We start from the raw sequence: 17,680 nt of genomic DNA on the forward strand, positions 1-17,680 counted from the left end.
ATTTTTTTTTCAAAGAAAATTTTAAAGTTGGAGGTATAGAGGAAAACGTGAAAGAATACAGAGATGTACTTTGATCCTAATTGTGAAGTCTAAATAGTTAAAACTAAAATGGAATATAAAGACAAATGAGACGCATCCTATAATTCAACAACAACAACAACAACAAACCCATTAAAACTCATCGGGAGTATGAATGGACAAAATATCAAAAAAATTTTTGTGGGGGAAAAAGAAGGAGGAGGGTAAACTTAAAAAAGCAGTCATCACTATATTTCACTGGGGTAAAGACAAGAAAAGTTGGCCAGGGTAATAGAAGAGACATACTCTACAGAAACAAATTCAAGCTATTTAAAGACTTGATATAAGATGAATAAGCATCAACACAATGCTACAAGAAAGAATCACTGTTTAACAAATATCGTCTAAGTGGGTCATAAAAAGCCAGAGAAAATGGGAAAGCAAATGTGTTTCCACTGTGATGAGAAGAAAACATTTTGACTATTGATGAAATTAGATATCAGAGACAGGATGGACGGATCTAAATGTGTTTTTAAAAGCCTTTTGTGCCACAGAATGTAATAAAGCAAACACAAAAATGAAAGCCACAGATGGGGGAGAAATATATGTGGCAAATTAAGCTTTCTATCCAAAATAGCTAAAGAACAGATCTAACTATAAAAGGCCAGTATCCTGCTCCTTTTTGATAAGTACTCAAAGGAAATGAGCAGAGAGTTTACACACAATACTTCACATAGAAAAATAGGCAGCCCCACCATGTATCTTGAATTTGCAATTTCAGTGAATTTTATAATGTTATAAAAATTAATATAAATGATAAAACAATGTTTGATTGTTCAAATTCCCTGGATGCTAATTTGGCAAAACCTACAAAACAGTTCCTATCCTTTGATTCCATAATCCTAATTCTAAGGAAGTAGCTAAAGAAAACAGTTAGAACAAAGTCATTTCTACAAAGTGTTTGCTGCAGTATTATTCAAATAGAAAAAACAGAAACTAACCACTTGCACAGTGATTTCTAAATCAGTGTTTCTTAAAATGGGGCTGAAGGACTGTCTATATCAGAGAAGAATCGCTGATGGGAGCCTGGGAGTATTCATTTTATCAAGAAGGTCAGTTTATGAAACCACACTAAAGTTCGAGAGCCACTAGACTCTAAGCAAACCACAGACCATGAGAACATTTGGAGGACTAAAGAATGTTTCAGGTAACAGACCTGTTCATGCATAGAGGTGGGAAGAAGGAATAATGATGACAGCAGAGAGAACACCAAACCCTACAGGCAGTGTCTTGGTCCGTGTTTTGTTGCTTATAACAGAATATCTGAAACGGGGTAATTTATAAAGAAAAGGGATTTATTTTGTACTGTTATTGAGTTGAGAAGTCCAAGGTCCAGGGGGTGCATCTGGTGAGGGCCTTCTTGCTGGTGGGAACTCTCTGCAGAGTCCTGAGGTGGTGCAGGGCATCACATGCTGAGGGGGTGAGCATGCTAATGTGCTAGCTCAGGTCTCTCTTCCTCTTCTCTCTCTCTTTTTTTTTTTTTTGAGATGGAGTCTCACTCTGTCACCCAGGCTGGAGTGCAATAGTGCCATTTCGGCTCACTGCAGCCTCCTCCTCCTGGGTTCAAGCAATTCTTCTGCCTCAGCCTCCTAAGTAGCTGGGATTATAGGCACCCGCCACCATGCCTGGCTAATTTTTGCATTTTTAGTAGAGATGGGGTTTCACCAAGTTGGCCAGGCTGGTCTCAAACTCCTGACCTCAGGTGATCCACCTGCCTCAGCATCCCAAAATGCTGGGATTACAAGCCTGAGCCATCACGCCCAGCCTTTTCCTCTTCTTATAAAGCTACCAGCTCCACTCCCATGATAGCCGGTTAGTCCGTTAACCCATTAATCTATGAATGGATTAACCCATTCATGAGGGCAGAGCTCTCATGATCCAATCACCTTTTAAAAGCCCCTCCTCTCAATACTGCCACATTGGGGATTAAGTTTCAACATGAATTTTGGAGGGGACATTCGAACCATAGCAGGCAGCAACAGCCCCTGTCTGAGATGCCCACAGGGCAGTGGCCACAACAGGGTATGGCGGCTAAAGTCATTGGAGTGTTGTAACACTGTGCTTTGTTTAAAAACTCATTATGGTCATACAAGTTTTCTTTTATTTATCAAAGTCCCAGGGAGGTCACTGGAAGCAATAACAGAGCACCTACAAAGAATCTCCAGAACGCTTGCCTCAAGTCATCCTTTTCTGGATGTCACTCCTTCCCTTTCTCTGTCTTGCACTCCCAGTCCCTGGGTGACTAACAGGACCTTTCTGCCTTCAACTCTGCCCAAGGCCTCCCATCCCATAAGCATCACCCCGCTGTGTCCTTGGCCACGTCCATTGGTGGTGCCAGCGGGTGGAGGTGTTGTCCTGTCCTTAGGACAGTTCACTGACCACACATTTTTGCATCAAATAAGGGGGAAAAAGAGCTTAGCAGGCAGTCTACTGGAGACTGCGGATGGTTAAGTATTTGCTTTTGAGGATGGGGAGGCAAGGCAGGTCTGATGGGATGTGTTGCTAAAGCAATTGTGAGCTTCTCTGGCTCCCAGAGGGCTTACTTCCCTTAGGGCTGATTCCCGAGGCACAGAAATGCCACCGTAGCTCTACTTCCCACAGAAGCCTCTTTACTGGAAACTACTGATCCATTCTTGCCTGGAGTCTTGGGGCTTCTTGCCAGTATCTGTGAATGTCACAGGATACTACTGTCCAGCCAAGGTTGGCCAACCTCCTCCAAGAAGCCTGGGCAAATGCCCAGGATGCCAGGCCAGTAGGCGCCTGTGTGGGAGGGGAGAGTTCACTCTATACCATGGAGTAGCTGGGGGATATTGGGGTAGCCAGGCCTAGCCCAGCAACATATCAAGCTTTTATTCGTTGCTTTCTGCAGCCGTAAGGGAGAATACAAAGTCCTCCTTTCAAACTAGCACATCTGTTCCCTGGCCCTGCAATACCAGCTCTCACCCCTTCCTGGCTCTCTCACAGCTGCCCCCTCTAGGTGGTACCCAGTCTTCTGCAGCCTTGCATGGTTCAGCCGAGGGAGCCCCTTTCCATATGGAGACCAGGCAGGGGAGAGTTTCTTCAGGACACCAGAGTGGGCATTAGGGAACTGTTAGTCTGCTCCCAGCCTCCATCTGGCACCCGATAATCTCACTGCCACGCCCAGTCCTTCCACAAGTTCCTCCCATAGGGTCAGAATCCAGCCCAGAGAGCAGGTTCCCAGACCTCTGTGCAGTGAGCTGCCCTCTGGAGGGAGAGAGGAGAGGAGAGAAATGGCAGAGAAGACACCAGGCAGGCCAGGCGCTGTGGCTCACGCTTGTCATCCCAGCACTTTGGGAGGCTGAGATGGGAGGATCACATGAGCCCAGGAATTTGAGACCAGCCTAGGCAACAGAGTGAGACCCCATCTCTACAAAAAATTAAAAATATTAGCCAGGCTTGGTGGCACACACCTGTAGTCCCAGCTACATGGGAGGTTGAGGTGGGAGAATCACTTGAACCCAGAGGCCAAGGCTGCAGCGAGCCATGATTGCACCACTGCACTCCAGCCTAGGTGATGCAGCCAGACCCTGTCTCAAAAAAACAAACAAACAACAACAATAAAAAGGCACCTGGCAGATGGCTGGCATCCTGTTGTGACTTATATAATAGACCTTTCTTTCATCTTTAATCCCAAAGTACTTCTTGAGTGCCTACCTATGTGTGAAATGCTGTGCTGGGAAGCTACAATCATGAACAGACAGACATGATCCTGCCTTCGTGGAACTTGCAGTCCATGGTGGGGAGGCAAAAAATAAACAAGTGAGCAAAGTCACAAAATGATGTGAAATTGTAGTGAGTACGCAGAAGGAAATACACAGGTACAGCGATGGGAAATAAGTGGGCTTCTGCTTCAGATAAGATGGTCAGGGAAGGCTGAGCTGAGCCTGGTTGGAGGGGTGGGCAGCGGCCAGATTAGGCAGACCAAGTTAGGAGATTTCCATTTTTGTCTGAGTCTAATGGGAAGTGATTGGAGGGCTCTAAGCAAGTGACACGGTCTGATTTCAATGTCCAAACCTCACGGCGGCTGTACGTCTGAGAATAGGCTGTGCGGGCAGCCGTGGGAGGAAGGAGAGCAGACAGGAGCCTCTCTAGCATCCAGGGGGAAGAGGATGCTGGCTGGGACTTGCTGGAGGAGGGGGGAGAGAGAGGTGGGAGGAAATGAGATGTATTTGGGAGGTTGTACCTAGAGGACTTACTGATGGGCTGGAGTGAGGAAGAGGAAACAGGCCTGAATCCCAGATTTCTAGCTTGAGCAACCCAAAGACGGGTGGTACCATTTACCACGGTGGAGGAGACTGGTGGGAGGCAGGTGGACAAAGAAGGGGGGTTGGGAGGAGGTTTTGCTGGTCTTTAGGCTTGTCCTGATTCCAAAGTCAAGAAAGTCATTATTTATGTGCCTTTCCTATCAGCCTATTAGACCTCATTTTTATATGTGGTTAAACTGTGGTTGAGCCCACTGAGTCAAGAGGGCTGAGAGATAGTACCAAGGAGCCAGTTTGGTATTTGGGGCGGTCTGCTCCTGGGACAAAGGGCTCCCAGTCTAGTGTCCGTGCTCCCCAGCTGTCACCCCCCTCCCAATCATCTCCCCAAGGTCCTTCAAGCCATGTTGGCAAAGCTCCCAGGACAGTATGCTCTGGCCCCAAGATGTTTTGTCTCATCCCTAATCTCCCCTGAGCCTCCCTCCTTTTCTCAAAATGTCTTTTCCAGTGCCCTGGCTTGGGTCAGTGTCTAGAAGGTGGGGTGATCAGGGGCTGGACCAGGAACCTGGCAAGCAGGGAGATTTGAGCCTGATGCTGGTTTCAGCTCCCAGCTGGTGTGGGCTTCTCAGTTCCCTTCTCTGAGAATTGTAGATTTCTGACTGCAAAATGGGACACAATCCTTCCTTTCTTTATGGGGTTAGAGGTAGGAGCTTTGGAGTCAGGAAGATCTCAGTTCAAATCCTAGCCAGCTATGTGACCTTGGGCAGGTCACCTCTCTAAACTACAGTTATATCACCTGTGAAACAGGAATAATAACCCCCTTCCTAGAGGACTCTGGTGAGTATAAAGCAAGATTATGGCTGGGTGCGGTGGCTCACGCCTGTAATCCCAGCACTTTGGGAGGTCGAGGTGGGTGGATCACTTGAAGTCAGGAGTTCGAGACCAGTCTGGCCAACATGGCGAAACCCCATCTCTACTAAAAATTAAAAAAGTAGCCAGGCGTGGTAGCATACACCTGTAATCTCAGCTACTCGGGAGGCTGAGGCAGGAGAATTGCTTGAACCCAGGGAGCGGAGGTTACAGTGAGCTGAGATGGTGCCACTGCACTCTAGCCTAGGCAACAGAGTGAGACTCCGTCTCAAAAAAAAAAAAAAAAAAAAAAGCTAGATTATGAAGTTTTGGATTCTCACACCCAGAGGGTCAAGATACACGGCAGCTAGTGCTACTGTTCTTGCACATATAAGGAGACCATCCATCCATGAGGGCACAGGCAACAGGCATCAGTTCCTAAAGCAAGTGGGAAATGATAGGATGTGGGACCATGAGCCTTAGTCTACATGTCACAAGCCAGCACACACACAGACTTCAGGCTGGCCTCTGCAGAGCTAGGAAAGTCCAAAGCACACTGGATATTGTTTTGTGACTTCATTATTTTGTCTCTGTGCCTCAGTGTCCCCGTCTGTGAAATGGGGATAATGCTTGTGCCTAGCTCATAGGTTGTTGTGAAGCTTCAGTGAGCTAGCTTTTTAATTGCTAAATATGTAAGGTGTTTAGAATAGTATCAGGAATGGGCTCATTTTCCTCTTGTAGTAGTTGTAGGTTTTCATCAGTATGTGTCCTCTAGAAGGAAGATTTTCTTTAGTGCAGTAGACACTTCTCTTCTCTCAGCTGCAGAAGGAGGGAAGAATGGATAAGCACTGGGCTAATGACAATTTACAGACTGACAATTTGGGGAAAAGGTGCAAGGTTGAAAGATTCATCCTAGCATATTAGAGCTTGAAAATGGACCTAAGAGTTCCATGAAATTCAATAGTTTCTTTCTTTCTTTCTTTCTTTCTTTCTTTCTTTCTTTCTTTCTTTCTTTCTTTCTTTCTTCTTTCTTTTTTGCATCAGAATTACTCACAAAAGTTTCAATAGTTTCTAAACTCCAGACCTCAGAGCAGTACCTGTCTACAGTGATGTTTTCTCCAGTTTAGCGCAATATAGAAAAACAACATACACAATGCAGTAGATTTTTCTTAAATCCAAATTTGTTCCATTTTGAGATTTTGAGGTTTTGTTCTTTATGCTTTTAGTGTTAAAATGTCCTTTCTTCTCTTCTCTTCTCTCTTTTCTTTTTTCTTTTCTTTTGTTTTGAAACAGCGTCTCACTCTGTCCACCCAGGCTGGGGTGCAGTGGCGTGATCTCGGCTTGCTGCAGCCTCAACTTCCTAGGCTCAACCTATCCTCCTACCTCAGCCTCCTGAGTAGCTGGGACCACAGGTGTGTGCCAGCCCCAGCTAATTTTCGTATTTTTGGTAGAGACAGGGTTTCACCATGTTGGCCAGGCTGGTCTTGAACTCCTGGCCTCAAGTGATCCACCTGCCTCAGCCTCCCAAAGTGCTGGGATTACAGGCGTGAGTTACCACTCCCAGCCTTAGCTGGGTAATTATGAGAAGCATCTGCATTTTCTTTATTGTGTTGGTGATGATCTGCACATACCCAAAGAACTAAAAATAAATGGCAGGAAGTCTGACTTCTTTGAAGCTGGGTAAATATTTATTTTCCCAAAGATCGAACCTCCTTGATACGGATGTAAAGTTACATGAAATGTGCCTTAGGTCTGCAGACTGTGGTCTATGGCTCGAATATACAGGTGGTCAGGATTTACACTGAAACTGTTAGCTGTAAAATTACTGTCTCCCCCACCGAAAAAAAAATTTCTGCCCCACTCACCTTGATCCACTGCTGGATCATGGCCAGGGCATAAAAGCCACTCCGGACTGGGCGCGTGGCTCACACCTGTAATCCCGGCACCCGAGGTGGCCAGATCACTTGAAGCCAGGAGTTTGAGACCAGCCTGGCCAACAGGGTGAAAACCCATCTCTACTGAAAATACAAAAATCAGCTGGGCATGGTTGTGCATGTCTGTAGTCTCAGCTACTTGGGTGGCTGAGGCACGAGAATCACTTAAACCTGGGAGCCAAAGGTTGCAGTGAGCTGAGATCGTGCCACTGCCTGGGCGACAAAGTGGTTTTTCCTGTCTCAGAGTGAAAAAAAAAAAGAGACACTCCCAGTTTGCCCTGATGCTGCCCTGATTCTATTTCACCTCCAGCCTTGACACACTGAGCAAATGGGCTCCCTTCCCTAAGGCCTACTTCCTCCATCTGGCAAATGGGCAGGAGCAAGAGAAGGCAGGGAAAGAAGGCTAAATATTGATCCTAACTCTTGTAGTGTCATTAATCCCTGACAAAGGGCCTCAGAGCTCGGCTTGTCTCTAAGCCCACTTTTCTCCAATCAGAGGGCCAATATTCCAGGAATAGTCAAGCCATGGGATAAAAACGGAGCATCAACTTTTCCTTAAATCTTTTGGGGAGAAATATGAATATACTATGGAGTAGAATGCAACATTTAGATGAACGTTTTTAAAAGAAAAATTCAACTGAAAAGAGATTTCCCAGCTGTGGCTGCTGCTGTAGATCAAGCTAACCAACTTGGGGTCCAAGTTCGTGCTTCTCTGGCTTAGAGGATGCTCTGATCCTCCAGGTCCTGTGAGGCAAATGTCATTTCCTGGGGGCTCAGCATAGGCCAGAGACATTTGGTCAGGAATGAAGATGATTTGTGACAGACAGCAGAGGTAAATTCAGTCCTCCAAGGCCCTGGCAGTCTTCCTTAATGCACCAGGCACTGGTCTCCAAGCTCAAGACCTTTTGCAGTGAGCCCAGTGAACCACTGTGTGGGCAGTCACTTACAAAGGGGAACTCCAAGAAAAGGACCCTATGTCAGCTACTCCCTCAAACTCAGGCCGACTTCTCCAATGGGCTCAGTAGACACAGGGCCCTGTGGTGGTTAATTTTATGTGTCAACTTGACCTCCCAGGTGCTTGGCTCAACATTATTTGGGGTATCCCGTGAGGGTGTTTCTGGCTGGGATTACTATTTGAATCAATAGACTGAGTGAAGCAGACTGCCCTCTCCATGGTGGGCGGGCCTCATCCAATCTGTTGGAGGTGAGGCCTGAATAGAACCGAAAAAGTGGAGTAAGGGAAAAATCAGGCTCTCTCTACCTGACTGTCCTTTGAGCGGGACGTCAGCCTTCTCCTGCCTTCGTTCTCGGACTGGAACTCACAGCACTGGCTCTCCTGAGTCTCCAGCTTGCCAAGTGCGGATCATGGGACTTCTCAGCCTTCAGATACATATGGGGCTGAGACAGTCCCATGATCTGCAGTTGGCTATAAATATCTATCTCCTTCCTATTGGTTCTGTCTCTCTGGAAATTCCAGACTAATATAGGCCCTCTACTTTTAGGGGACCACGAAAATGTTTTAATTTTAATTTCTTTTAAAATTAGAAGAAGATGACTATAATAGTAATGAATACATACAAATGAATCAAGTTTGGATTCAATTTGTCTTTATGCCAATGTAGTCACAAAATATAATTTTTAATATATTTTTATGGAAGAATGGGCCCACAGAGGCATAAGTGCCTAAGCGCCATGAAAGCCATGATGTGGCCCTGCTGACACTCTGCAGCACCCCATCCTTGAGGGTTAGGAGGTCAACCCACTGAACCAAGGGGTACACATTGCTTCCTTGCACCTGGGAGCCTACGTGCACCCGTTGGTTCAGTGGGTTGGCCAGAATGGTGTTTCTACTGCCTTCCACTGACCTTGAAGAAGAGGTTATTTTTGGAGCTATTGTCTTGAGTTTTATCTATTAATAGAAAAATTGTGTGTGTGTGTACTTCTACCTAGCGGTCCAGAAGGCAGAGTGAACGAGAAGCAGGCCTAAGATAAGGAACAGCTTCTCCTTCCAAAGAAGGTGACTACCAAGGAGCACTCGTCCCTGCCTCCACAACCAGTTTTCCTCTGTGTCCTGTCCTGGTTCTTGTCTAATTAGGTTGACCTCTCTCTCCTGTAGACCAGGACCAAGCATTCAGTGAGCATACATGACGTGTCAGATACTGTTCAGGGACAGCAAAGGTAAACAACAGGACACCTGCAGCCTTCAGAGGCAAACAGCCTTGTAAACAAGCAGTCAGAGCTGAGTACAAGTGCTGTGGGAAGACACAGCTTAATTCTGCCTGGATACCCTGTGAAGGGTGTGGAAGGACGAACATGTGACCTTAGGGAAAACAGGCAGGTGTATCCTTCCAGCCTCCCAAAGGGAAGATTTTGTTGTGTGTGAGGAATGTCAGAAATGTAATAAAGCCAACGACGTTATATTAAATGAGTTCTGGGCTGGGTGAGGTGGCTCATCCCTGTAATCCCAGCAGTTTGGGAGGCTGAGGCAGGAGGATTGCTTGAGCCCAAGGGCTCAAGACCAGTCTGGGCAACAATGGTAAAACCCTGTCTCTGCAAAAAATACAGAAATGATCCAGGCATGGTGGCACATGCCTGTAGTCCCAGCTACTTGGGAGGCTGAGGTGGGAGGATTGCTTGAGCCCAGGAGGCAGAGGATACACTGAGCTATGACTGCGCCACTGCACTCCAGCCTGGGCAACAGAGCCAGACTCTGTCTCAAAAGAAAGAAAGAAAAAAAAAATGAGTTCTGTACATTGTGACCCCCAAATTACAAATCTATTTGTTTTATGACTGCATAAGACTTTTCTTCCAGCTAAGAAGTAGAAACAAGTGTAAATTAAGAGTGCCATGTTGCAGAACACCTACCACTACCACAAAGTATGTTTGCCCCACAACCTTTTTAATCACCTGCAATTTTGACAGGAAAAGAAAGGAAAGAAGGCATTTCAAGCCGATGGCAAGGCACAAAGGGTAGGAGGGCCAGTGTTCTGGGAATGACAGGTAGTCCTGTACAGTCAGAAGGAGGGATGCATTCCAAAGTACAGTGGAGGGACAGGCATAGGATAGACATTTAGGAAAAAAAAAAAGAAAGAAAGAAAAGAGAAATAAAAATGTAGGTACCAGACACAGTGGTGCACACCTCCAGTCCCAGGTACTCAGGAGGCTGAGATGGGAGGATTTCTGGAGGCCAGGGGTTCAAGGCTATGATCATGCCTGTGAATAGCCACTGCACTCCAGCCTGGGCAACATAGTGAGATAACATCTCTAAAAAATAAAAAGAAAAAAATAGATGCAGGAATGGCATGTCCCCAGTTAAGCCTCTCGTCCTGGATGGGATGAGGAAACAGGTACAGAGAAATGTGAAAGGAAAATAAATCTTGGGGCCCCTAAATCACTAAGCTAAAGGGAAAAGTCAAGCTGGGAACTGCTCAGGGCAAATCCCCCTCCCATTCTATTCAGAGTCACCCCTCTGCTCACTGAGATAAGTGTATATCTGATTGCCTTCTTTGGAGAGGCTAATCAGAAACTCAAAACAATGCAACCATTTGTCTCTTATCCACCTATGATCTGGAAGCCCACTCCCCACTTCCCCTTCATCTTGAGTTGTCCCAGCTTTCCGGACTGAAATAATGTACATCTTACACATATGTATTGATGTCTTATGTCTCCCTAAAATGTATAAAACCAAGCTGTGCCCCGACCACCTTGAGCATATGTTGTCAGGACCTCCTGAGGCTGTGTCATGGGCATGCATCCTCAACTTTTTGCTAAGGTTTATTGGCAAAATAAACTTTCTAAATTAACTGAGACCTGCTCAGATTTTTGGAGTTCACAGAAAGGAGCATTCTTGCTTTTCAGTGGAGGAGAGTGGCCCCTTTCTGGTAAGTGTGATGAAGTATGCATTCAGAGCATGTTTTTCAGCCTCTGAGCTATAATCATCCCAGCCAATTTAGGAACCATATAGTATGATAGAGGAAAAATATATGTTGGGACTTTGTTCTTGACTTCTGACTCAGAGCTCATAAGACCCTTGGAATTTCCTGAGTGATAGGAATGTCTTTTGTTATTCATAATAAGGCCCTTCCTTACACACCTGAGTTTATGCTAATGAGGTAACTCAGGATAGAACCCCTAGATAGCATCAAGATGGGGGCTGGCCACCAGAAAGACCAAATACGTGATTAGAAGGTGGGAACTTTCAGTCCTCTGTCCTGACCTCCAGGGAGGGAAGCCGGGCTAGAGACTGAATTACACAAACTCTTTTTTGTGTGTGTGTGACAGAGTATCGCTCTGTCACCCAGGTTGGAGTGCAGTGGCAAAATCTTGGCTCACTGCAACCTCTGCCTCCTGGGTTCAAGTGATTCTCCTGCCTCAGCCTCCTGAGTAGCTGGGACTACAGGCAGGTGCCACCACGCCTGGCTAATGTGTGTATTTTTAGTAGAGATGGGGATTCCACCATGTTGGCCAAGTTTCTCTCGAACTCCTGACCTCAAGTGATCTGCCCGCCTCGGCCTCCCAAAGTGCTGGGATTACAGGCATGAGCTACCATGCCTGGCCAAGTTACACAAATTCTTGAACAATGAGTTTCCAAGAACCTCTGGGTTGCTGAACGCATGTCTTGCCCTTGGCATCCCTCCTTGGCTGTCCTGACTTGTATCCTCTATAATGAAGCAGTGATCATAAGTAGAGCAATTTCTTGAGTTGTCTTCTACAAATTATCAAACCTGACAAGAGGGTCGTGGGAACACCTAAATTTGTAGTCAGCCAGGCAAAAGTGTGGGTGTCCTGGGGACCCATTACAGCTGGCATCTGAAGTGGTGGTAGTCTTGTGGGACTGAGCCCTTAACTTGTGGAATCTGATACTAACTCCAGGTAGATAGTGTCAGAATGGAACTGAACTGGGGGACACCCAGTTCGTGTTGGAGAATTGGAGAATTGATGTGGAAAACTGACACATATTTGGTGTCAGTAAAAAAGCACACATTTGGTTCAGAAGCGGTATTAGGAAAAAACATGCAGAGAGAAATGATAATTCCCAAGAAACAGCCTCAACCTGGTTTAAGAGAGGCAATTCTTTTTTTTTTTTTTTTTTTTTTTTTGAGATAGGGTCTTGCTCTGTCACCCAGGCTGGAGTGCAGTGACATGATCATAGCTCACTGCAGCCTTGACTTCCAGGCTCAAATGATCCTCCCACCTCAGTCCTCCTAAGTAGCTGGTACTACAGATGAGTGCCACTACACCTGGCTAATTTTTGTATTTTTTTTGTAGAGATGGGATTTTGCCATGTTGCCCAGACTGGTCTTGAACTCCTGAACTCAAGTGATCCATCGTCCTTGGCCTCCCAAGGTGCTGGCATTAGAGGCATGAGCCTCCCTGCTCAGCCTAAGGGAGGCAATTCACACAGCAGCTCATGTACTTCACAGTTTGCTTGTGGCTAATGTCAAGTCCTTTGTCTTTGGAGTCTAGCCTGTAAGAAACAGTTCAAAAAATAGGGCTTCCCAGGAAAACCAGATCTTTTGTTCATTTTAATGGCAAGATGGGAGGCCCAGATAGAGGGTCTGGAATATACAAACTCTCCCAGCTCTCATGGGAGGCAGATCCTCTGGGAGGATGTGAAAAAGAAGAGGCAGGACCAGTTTTAGCTTGGCTTTTTCCCTGATGCACTCGGCGCCTTTGGGCAAATTGCTCCCCTCTTGGGCTTCAGTTTTCTCATCTGTAAAATAAACAGTACCAGACTTGATGATTGCTTAGGTCCACCTGCCCCAAGAGCAGAATTCCATGGCTCTAAACTCAAGAAGAGTGCCCCCAGAGATTGTTAGGAGATCAGTAAATAGCTGGACACAAAGTTCATCTCATTGAATAACTATGAGTGTTGAATAAAGGAATATTTCAGGGAAGCCAACAGCCTCCAAATTACTCCTGCCCTGCCCCTGAGCCAGATGCATTCCATGAAACCAAAATCAGAGAAACAGAGTGATGAGGTGCTGACCTCCGGGTCAGCAGAGGCTGTGCTCCTGGTAGTTAGAAGGGTGTCCTGCCAAGCACGCCAGCCACTGCAGTCCTGGCTTCTCCCCAGAATGTCCTTTCCCAGGAGGGGCAGCACAGTCACCACCTACCCTTCTGATGAGCCATTAGGACACTGAAGCCCATTCAACGTGACATGGCGCAGAGCAGGGAGGGAGAGCCACTATGCTGGGTGACAGAATCAGGATTCAAAAATATGCCGCTGACTTGAAAGGTGGGCTGAAGCTAACAGGGTTATATTTAATAGGGAGAAATGAGGATCCTAAGCTCAGATCCAAAAAGATCAACTAGACCAGGGGTTGGCGAACTACCAGCTGCAGCCTGCTGCCTGTCTTTGTAAAAGAAAGTTTTTTTTTTTGGATCACAGCCACGTCCATTTGTTTGTAGGCTCTCTATGGCTGCTTTTACGCTGCAGTGGCAGGGTTGGGTAGTCACACAGGGACTACAGAGCCTAAAATATTTACTGCCTGGCTGGCCCCTAAATTAGATAAGGAAGTCCATATGGGGAGTGTCTTAGTCTGTTTACACTGCTTTAATGAAATACCACAAACTAGGTGGTTTATAAACAACAGAAATTTATTTCTCACAGTTCTGGAGACTGAGAAGGACAAGATTGAGGTATCGGCAGGTTCAGTGTCTGGCAAGGGCTCACTTCCTGGTTCAAAGATAGCACCTTCTGCTGTGTCCTTACATGGTGAGATGAGGGGATCTCTCTCAGGCCTAATTCACAAGGGCACTAATCTCATTCTCAAATATTCCACCCTCATGACCTAATCACCTCCCCAAGCCCCACTTCCTAATACCATCAGCTTGGAGGTTAAAGTTTAAACATAAATTTGGGGGGAACACAAACATTCACACTATAGCAGGAAGATTTGAATTTAAAGCAATTCAAGTGAAAAAGATAAAGAAAAAAAGAAGATGAAAGATTATTATTTAGCTTGCATTAATAGCATTATGATAGTAAGACAAAGACTGTGTTAGATAGGTAGGTCTCTTTTAGATGTAGGTGATGAAAAGTAATAGAAAACTAGCTCAGCACAGGAGGGATATATTGGGAGGGTGACCAGGAGAAGGCAGATGAGCCTCAGGACCACTTCTCCTATAGCCACTTCTCGCTTGGTACAGACCGGCTTCTGTGAGTGGCAAAAAAATGGCTATGGCAAGGTTCTCGTCACTAGTTTGCTCCTTTTCACCAATCTTGGTCTTTTCTATTTTTTCTCAGCACATGGAAAGATGATATGTCCTAGCCTGCCCTACAGTTAAGTGAGGCTATGGATTGAAATCTGGCGAATGTGGGTGGAAGTGAGCTGCATCACTTTCAGACAGTGGCCATTAGAGCTGGGGAGGCTTCTTCATGCCCTCGCCCACCCCTTCATTCCTTCCACTCTCTACCTTGCATCTGGAAGTGAAAGAGTAAGATGACAAAGCTTCAGAATAGCAGGATCTTAGATCCCTGAATCACCACTTGGGGGAGAGCTTCCCAGGAAACCTGCCGAACCCCATCAAATTTTGCATGAGAAAGAAATACGTTTTTATTGGATTAAGCCACTAACATTTCAGGTTTGATTCATTTCTTACCATAGCCCATTCTTTTTTTTTTTTTTTTTTTTTTTTTTTTTTTTTTTTGAGACGGAGTCTTGCTCTGTCACCCAGGCTGGAGTGCAATACTGCAATCTCGGCTCACTGCAACCTCCACCTCCCAGGTTCAAGCGATTCTCCTGCCTCAGCCTCCTGAGTAGCTGGGATTACAGGTGTGTGCCACCATGCCTGGCTAATTTTTTTTGTATTTTTAGTAGAGACAGGGTTTCACCATGTTAATCAGGATGGATATCATAGCCCATTCTATATTGATCAATGTAGCTACCAATTGCTGTTGAATTGTATATTTTACCATTTCAGTCACCAGAGAGGTATTCAAAAACAAACATCCCTATAAATGAATTGATTGGAGCAGCTTAAATTTGGTGCCAACCTCTTAGCCAACCAGCTGGCCTTGGGAACAGAATCATAGGTGAGTGTGGCAGCCCCTACAAGGACTGCATGGGTGAAGTTTGGGGAAGGGGGATGGTTTGCAGTTTCCAGAAGGAAGCCTGGAGGGATGGTGGGGGGCTGTGGAGGGGAGAGAGAGCAAAGGGAGACTACAGACAATAATGCTGCCCTACTGATCACAAACACTTCAGTGTCACGCTCTCAGCATAGTATTTTAAATGGAATCCTGAGTCAGGATTCCTGACAAATCCATTAGAACAGACTGGAAACAGAGGGAGTAGGGCAATGAGGAAAAGGCCTTAAGAAGCCTTAAAGAACCTTGACCTAAGAGGTAGAATTGGAGGAAGTGGGGCTATTTAATCTTGAAAATAGAAGACTTGGCAGGAACACAGTGATTCTCTTCATGGCTGTGAAAGACCATCCCATGAGGGGAATACTGTGACACTCCAAAGGGCCAAACTAGGCGTGGAAGGTGTCACGACAGAAAAGTCAGATTGTAGCCCAACTTCAGGAGGAGCTTCTGTCCATGATAGCCAACCAGGAAGGGCCCAGACCCTTTTAGGAAGGGAGAAGCTGGCATCATGAGGACACACCAGCCAATTCTGCTCAGACTGCTGAAGATGGGATTCCTGCATTTTTGGACTGCTTGTTCTATCTGCACATTCCTCTCCAATACTAAGAGTCTGAAAATTAACTTAAATTGGTCATTCAGTCTGGCCAAGAGGATCCAGGAGGTGCTAACTGCAGCCGAGGCCAAATGAGCTCTACTGTGAAGGAGGATAGAGGCTGCATTGGATATGATCCACTTGTCCAGAAGCCAGCCTCTGCCCTCTCAGAGCCCAGAAGCTTTAGAAGAGGGTTGTGGTAGGCACTCGGGAGGGCCTGGGAAAGATGCTCTTTCATGGCACTCTTGTCACTGATCCTTGAACCCAAGGCTAGAAGGCAGGGTGTGGGGAAGTGGGGTGGCAAGGAGGAGGGAGTCTCCTGACAATGGTCCCCTGTATCTTGTAGGCTGACAGGCAGGGACAACACACACTCAGAAACAATGCAGAGGCTCAGATAGTGCTATGTGGTATAGCATCAAGGCCTTCTCCCATCATTTGCCAGTTGAGGCCTAATATGGTTTGGCTCTGTGTTCCCACCCAAATCTCATCTTGTAGCTCCCATAATTCCCATGTATTGTGGGAGGAACCCAGTGGGAGATGACTGAATCATGGGGGTGGGTATTTCTCGTGCTGTTCTTGTGATAGTGAATGGGTCTCACGAGATCTGATGGTTTTAAAAAATAGGAGTTTTGGCCCAGTGCGGTGGCTCATGCCTGTAATCCCAGCACTTTGGGAGGCAGGCAGATCACCTGATTTCAGGGGTTTGAGACCAGCCTGACCAATATGGAGAAACCCCTTGTGGAGGCACATACCTGTAATCTCAGCTACTTGGGAGGCTGAGGCAGGAGAATTGCTTGAACCCGGGAGGCAGAGGTTGCAGTGAGCTGAGATCGTGCCATTGCACTCCAGCCTGGGCAACAAGAGCAAAAACTCTGTCTCAAACAAACAAACAAACAAACAAAACGGGAGATGTTCTGCACAATCTCTTTTTTTTTTTTTGCCTGCTGCCGTCCATGTAAGATGTGACTTGCTTCTCCTTGCCTTCCGCCATGATTGTGAGGCGTTCCCAGCCATATGGAACTGTAAGTCATTAAACCTCTTTCTTTTGTAAATTGCCCAGTCTCAGGTATGTCTTTATCAGCAGCATGAAAATGGACTAAATACAGTAAATTGGTACCAGTAGAGTGGGGCACTGCTGAAAAGATACCCAAAAATGTGGAAGTGACTTTGGAACTGGGTAACAGGCAGAGGTTGGAACAGTCTGGAGGGCTCAGAAGAAGACAGAAAAATGAGGGAAAGTTTGGAACTTCCTAGAGACTTGTTGAATGGCTTTGCCTAAAATGATGATAGTGATATGGACAATAAAGTCAGGCTGAGGTGGTCTCAGATGGAAATGAGGAACTTGTTGGGAATTGGAACAAATGTGACTCTTCTTACGTCTTAGTAAAGAGAATGGTGGCATTTTGCCCCTGCCCTAGAGATTTGTGGAACTTTGAACTTGAGAGAGTTGATTTAGGACATCTGGTGGAAGAAACTTCTAAGTAGCAAAGCATTTAAGAGGTGACTTGAGTGCTGTTAAAGGCATTCAGTTTTATAAGGGAAGCAGAGCATAAAAGTTCAGAAAATTTGCAGACTGACAATGCGATAGAAAAGAAAATCCCATTCTCTGAGGAGAAATTCAAGCTGGCTGCAGAAATTTGCATAAGTAACGAGGAGTTGAATGTTAATCCCCAAGACAATGGGGAAAATGTCTCCAGGGCATGTCAGAGGTCTTCATGGCAGCCCCTCCCATCACAGGCCCAGAGGCCTAGGAGGAAAAAGTGGTTTTGTGAGCCAGGCCTAGGGTCCCCCGTGCTGTGTGCAGCCTAGGGACTTGGTGCCTTATGTCCCAGCTGTTCTAGCCATGGCTGAAAGGGGCCAACATAGAGCTCAGGCTGTGGCTTCAGAGGGTGCAAGTCTCAAGCCTTGGCAGCTTCCA

The 17,680-nt window shown here is 46.1% G+C and overlaps 1 protein-coding gene and 1 non-coding gene across 2 annotated transcripts in view; one reads left to right on the forward strand and one right to left on the reverse strand.

The window, feature by feature from the left end:
* Positions 1-17,680, forward strand: part of GPHN (gephyrin) — a 1,227,209-nt gene that overhangs the window by 925,276 nt on the left and 284,253 nt on the right. The gene's annotated exons all lie outside the window — the stretch shown is intronic.
* On the reverse strand, positions 8,433-8,508 carry MIR5694 (microRNA 5694). The gene has a single exon (NR_049879.1). It is a non-coding gene; the product is annotated as a microRNA 5694 (primary transcript).

This window comes from Homo sapiens, chromosome 14, assembly GCF_000001405.40.
Source record: "Homo sapiens chromosome 14, GRCh38.p14 Primary Assembly".
NCBI lineage: Eukaryota > Metazoa > Chordata > Mammalia > Primates > Hominidae > Homo > Homo sapiens.